Below are 6,000 nucleotides of genomic sequence, written 5' to 3'. Positions count from 1 at the left end.
AAGTCAGAACAACATGCAGCCCATTAGAAAAGATAAATTCTTTATTTGTGGAAAACAACAGAAGTGGGGCTATTTAGGCACCGCCAATGTTTATTATATTCATATGGCAGAGAATAAACACAGCACACTAGAAGTTTGCGCTTTGGGTATTAAAAAAAAAAAAAAGCAAAACCTTCTTAGGTCACTGACTATCTTCTTTTGCTCCTTTCTATCTGACTCCTCAGGCAAGGTGCAATTCAAATCCCTGGAGAACCTCTCAAATATAGCTGCTGTTCAATGTTACTCAGAAATAAGGAAAGAAATTTGACACGGAGACACTCCACATCTTGGCTGCCTGGAAAAATATCATCTTTGAGGTCATTCAACTCACTAAGTCATTTTTATTATTGTTTTGTCTGTCTATTTTCTGGTACAGTCTCAATGAAAGATATGTGGCCCTAATCATGCAAAACCGATCTGGGGGGAATCAGTTGTTTCTTCAGGTCTTCGCAGGATTCCAGCTCCCCCAACTACCTCCGTCGCCTTCTAAAACTGGCAGGCTCTGGACGTTTTGCATGCTGAAGAAAATCACTGTTTTGCCTCCAGCAAGGAACATAAATGTTGCAACACTGACTCCTCCTCTCATGAAGAAAGAGTGAACAAGTGCACCGAGTTGAGCTTCTTCTCACAGAGCCACCGGGCTGGGGACCGGGGAGCGGAGGCTGAAATCCCCAGACGCCGGTTTTCTGGGCTGGGCTTTCTGCCTTACTCACTCCTTCTCCCTCTTTCTGGATTTTACCGACCGTTCGCGAAACAGCTTTCCACACAATGGAGCTTCATGTCCTCGTGCAGGAAGTACTCATCGACTGATGTGGCAGACTTTGCTCCCTGGCAAAAGTGAGTACCCATGGCGAGCTGAGGCCGCCTCCGACGGCGCGCGGCAGGGGCTGCGCGGGCGGCCGCTCTCCGGGATGCGGGTTCGAGGCCCGCGTGCTGAAGGGGAGAGCGGGGCCACCGGCGCGGGCTCCTGGAGAGAACGCCAGCCAGGAGCCAGAGTCGGCAGCCGGCGGGGAAGCCCGGGATCCGCCCGCCTCCCGCCCGGATGTCCCTTCTCAGAGGGGCTAAAAAATACTCTTAAGGTGCTTTGCCTCCACCACTGCCCCCAACCCCAGCTTTTACAAACTGCACTCGGCTCGCATTCGCCTTTGTCAAAGGCATCTTCACCTGTATCCTTGAGCATGAGTTTCGGCGTTGATTGTGGGATTCTCAGAATGCAAATTATTTGCGTCAAAATAAAAAGAAAAGAAAAAAAGAGCGGGGAGGGGGAAGGGGCGCAGACAGGTGATGTGATGAAAGCCGGACTCGAGACTCTCCCATCAGCAGCAGCCGCCGCCGCAGCAGCCTCGCGGGCATCCGGCGGGGAAAGTTTAGGGTTAGCAATGCTGACCTGAAAGGTGTTGCTCCTCCCAAAAGTCAGCGGGGGTAGGGGCAGATGAGCAGCCTCCGGGCCAGAAGCCGGAGCTGGACGGAGGCACCTAGGCAGAGGAATTGCAGCCCGGGAGGAAGCTGGAAGGAGAGCCCGCTGGAGAAGGGAGGAGGGAAGGGAAGAGGAGTTGGTTAAAGTCAGGCAAACTCAGGTAACTGGAGGGCCGGCCCGAGTGCTACGGCAGGGGAAGGCAAGGGCTGGAGTTCTGGCTCTTTGAGTAGAAAACTATCCTTTTAGTGACCTCTACCTGTATCCTGGGGAAGCAACCCACACTGCCCTGAAAACAAGCAACGTAGGGGATTCTATGACTGGACTTGAAAATGGTTGCAAAACATTATTATTAGTCTGGAGGGATCACTTTGTCTTCATTTGTCAAGTTGACCGGGCAAGATTTCCCACCTGAAATCGTGCTTCACTTGACCAGGGAAGTGCTGCTAATCCCAATCCTGACCATCAGCTGTGCAAACTTGGGCAAGATACTTACCCTCTCTGGGCTTCGATTTTTTTTCTGCAAAGTTTAGGGAATTAATTAATTATATATATATATTATAGAAATATATATAATATATATATAAATGTTTAATGAGGTGGAAGTGCTGAATAGTGCAAGAGAGGAGCAGATGAAAATATTAATTTCAGTGGTTCTTAAAAATTAGGGGTGATAGGTCCTTTTGAGAATTAGCTGTGAGTCCTCTTCCTGGGGCAAAATGCATATGGCATGTACATAAAATTTTACATGCAATCCCTGAGGGTTTGTGGATACTCCCTGAAAGCCATGCCTGAATCCCAGGTGACAATCCCTTATTCCTCCTCCTGTATCAAGACCACCCAGCCAACTCCTTGCTGCTGGTTGGGCTGACTGTGGGAGTAATCCACAGCCTTCTTGGGGGTCTGGAGTCAGCCACGCTGCTGAAGGAGACAGCTCCCCTGTCATGGGTGAGCTCCCCACATGCTCTCTCCAGAGCTCTACCAGCCTCTGACTCCAGGGGACCCCTCCTCACAACCCTTTTTAATGACTCTCCTAAGGCGACAGTCCTTACCCCTAGAATTTTCAGTCCCACCAACCCTGGAGAGCCATCTAAAGAGGATCGCTGTCTGAATCAGAGTGCTCTTCAGGTCACCTAGCTGGATGGCAGGGAGGCCAAGGCTTTGTTTGGAAATGAAGCAGTCTTTGCTCCCTGAGGCATAGTATGAGTAGGCAGCCATATTCTTTTGAACCTCTGTACTTTGCCTTTAGAGGACTAAGGACTCACATCTCTGGGGACCCTGGGTGTTCCACTAGCAGTGCCAGCAAGGCACATCAGAAAACACACAGGGCTTTGGAGCTCAACAGACTGGGCTTCAGATCTTGACTCCCACACTGAGCAAGCCTCTGAGTTTTCCTGAGCTTCACTTTTCCTGTCAGCACAATGAAAATAATGCTGCTTTTTTTTTTTTTTTTTTTTTGCATGGTTGTTGGGAGAATGGAAATACTATGAATCATGCCTAGCCCATAGTCAATGATAAACTTTTTCTTAATATTAATGTGGCACCATAAATAAGTGTTCAATAGTCTCATGCTTTTAAGAACAGCTTACTCTCTCTCTCCTATGGGGCTTACATTAGTAGAAGAATGAGTAAAATTAGTTCTGGTCTAGTTATGCACAAAAAGGAGTGGTGGCCTCAGAATACAGAGTCAGACTGGCTGTTCGAATTGTGCAGTGTCAAGGAGAGCACTATGTATTGCCGGCAAGTAAAGTATGTCCAGACCGGCGTGGATACTTGACCTGTCTCTCAGTTCTCTTTTGACCCATAATCTTGAGTACAAAACAGCTAGTGCTGTGCCTGCAGCTAAAAACAGCCAGGCATGGAAAGAAGTGTTGTGGCTGGGTCCATCTTCAGAAACTGTAGAGAGAAATATCTCCATTGTCATCTTTCACAGTTTGGCACAGATGTAGCCAACTCAGCATGTACTCTCTCTCCATGGGGTCCTGGTGCCTCCATTGCAAGTGGTCAGATGATGTAGCAATGAAAGAAGGAAACATCGGAAACTTAAAAGGAAATTGGATATCCACAGAGTAGCCAAAGATCTATCAGTATACTTTGGTGAGGTATTCCTGCATGCAAAGATAGCAATATTCATGCCTACTATTTACTGAGCCTTTAAGATGTGCTAAGCACTTTCACACATTGCCTCAATTAATTCTCATAGCAAGATTGCAGAGTATGAGTTATCATTTAAAGCTTTACCAGTAAAGAAACTGAAACATGGAAATGTACATACACCCCCCAACCCCACACCCCACATCCGCCTAGCTCAGGAAAGGCAGAACCAGGATCCAAGCCCAGGTCTGTCTGACTTTGGCACCCACTCTTTTTCCACTACCCAGTGCTCCCAAGCTCCCCAATATCAGGCACTTGCATCAGCCAACCGGATTAAGATTCTTCTAAAAGGCAGGAATAGCCAAATCTAGTGGGTGCTTTTAAGTGGTGTGAACATGTGCTTGGCTTGTGATACATATTAACGGGTAGCAACAACAAGATCACCTATGGGAGGATAATATTCCTGACCCTTCCCAAGCCCAGCCATTAGACTCAAGATTGGCAATATCCAACATTAGCAGGTGAGGCTGGCGCTCTGTCACTGACTTCCTTGGTAATCCTTTTAGTTAAACAGAGCTCTGGAATGTTCATTCTCTACCACCTTTAGAATCAGAACACCACTTACCTTTACCTCCCTGTGCTGAGCACGTTTTCATTCATTTATTCGACAAGCATTTGCTGAGCTCTGTTTTGTGCTGGGCACTTGATGACACAGTGGGGAATGAGACACACAGGATCCCAGCCCTTGTGGAGCTTCTATGCCAGAGAGAGTGACAGAAAACAGTCGGGTGAACAAATACATAAATAAAATCATTTCAGATACTGATAAATGCTATGAAGAAAATAGAGGCTGAAGGCTACAGAGGGACAGGGCGTGGGAGCAACTTTCAACAGGGAAGTCAGAGAAGACTGCCATACAAAGGATACCCTTGAACTTAAACCCGCATTTTCAAAAAGGGAGCCAGCCCTGTGAAAGTCTAGGGAAAGGGCTACCTTAGCAGAACTCTCAAGAGAAAGTTCTTAAATTGGAGTAAATGAAGCAGTAAAGCTTAAAGTCTGAAGATGGGCCCTTTAGAAGTTGACTTGTATATAGGGGGAATTATTATTTGAATGCCTACTGTACTATTCTAAGCTGTGCTGTATACTCTGTTTATCTTCCCAATGATCTGGTGAGTTAGCTATTTTTGTTTTTATTTTACAGTTGAAGAAACCAAGAGTCATCAAGGTTAAGGAGCTAGTCCAAGGTTATGGAGCTAGTCCAAGGTTATGAAGCTGGTATTTGAATCCCTTAGTCTATTTCACTCCAAAGCCCACAACTACTTGCTAACACAGCATGTGGGCTTTGAGATAATGTCTTTTGGAGAAAGTAAGGAAGCCGATAGAAGGAGAATATCAAAAGTAAATTAAGTAGCTGAATGCTGACAACGATTTGTATTTGATGTCCCAAATTCCAGTTAGTGCACCTACAACTGAACTGTCCAATACAGTAGCCACTAGCCACATGTGCCTATTGAGCACTTGAAATGTGGCTATTTCATATTGAGATGTACTGTAAATGTACAACGCACCCCAGATTTTTAAGACCTAGTATTCCCCCCAAAAAGTAAACTGTCTTGGCCAGGTGTGGTGGCTCATGCCTGTAATCCAAGCACTTTAGGAGGCCGAGGCGGGTGGATTGCCTGAGCTCAGGAATTCGAGACCAGCCTGGGGAACACGGTGAAACCCCGTCTCTATTAAAAATGCAAAAATTAGGCAGGCATGGTGGTGGGTGCCTGTAATCCCAGCTACTTGGGAGGCTGAGGCAGGAAAGTCTCTTGAACCCGGGAGGCGGAGGTTGCAGTGAGCCAAGATTGCGCCATTGCACTCCAGCCTGGGTGAAAGAGTGAGACTCCGTCTCAAACAAAAACAAAAACAAAAGTAAACTGTCTCAATTTTTATATTGATTGTGTGTTGAAATGATAATATTTTAGGTATACTAGTTTAAATAAAATATATTAAAATTAATTTAACCTTTTTCCTTTAATGTGGCTTAATAGAAATGTTTAAATTACATATGTGACTCACATGATATTTCCGTTGAATAGCACTGATCTAGACTAATAAGTTGACAAATACATGATAGGACCTTTTTCCCCCTTCTTCCAAACGTGACTTCTTCCTCTGTTCTTGTGTCAGGCTCCTTCTCATCTGCCCCCATATTCAGTTATTTGGTGAAGCACGAGAGAAAAGAGGTCCCTCTTCCTTCTCCCCCACCCTCATGCTGCTGGTTAGCAGGTGATCATTTGAAGTCCACTATACCATGTCACTTTGGGATCTGATAAAATAGACTCAGTGATTATATTCATCACCAAGACCAATCCTCTCACTCAGGTAAATCTCAAGAGGCTTTCAAACGTCCTACAATGAAAGGGTCATTTTAAATCTGGATTTAAAGTTTTACCTTTAAATCACTT

The 6,000-nt window shown here is 45.8% G+C and overlaps 1 protein-coding gene across 2 annotated transcripts in view; it reads left to right on the top strand.

The window, feature by feature from the left end:
* PRLR (prolactin receptor) overlaps positions 657 to 6,000 on the top strand; it is a 181,732-nt gene continuing 176,388 nt past the window's right edge. For both annotated transcript variants that reach the window (XM_024446131.2, NM_000949.7), the window contains exon 1: positions 657 to 876. In XM_024446131.2, the coding sequence (XP_024301899.1) occupies positions 818 to 876 (59 nt within the window). In that variant the 5' untranslated portion in view covers positions 657 to 817. The remainder of the gene's footprint in view (positions 877 to 6,000) is intronic.

This window comes from Homo sapiens, chromosome 5 (genome assembly GCF_000001405.40).
Source record: "Homo sapiens chromosome 5, GRCh38.p14 Primary Assembly".
NCBI classification, from domain to species: domain Eukaryota; kingdom Metazoa; phylum Chordata; class Mammalia; order Primates; family Hominidae; genus Homo; species Homo sapiens.
Note: the sequence above shows the minus strand (reverse complement) of the source record. Positions and strands in the feature narration are given on the sequence as shown.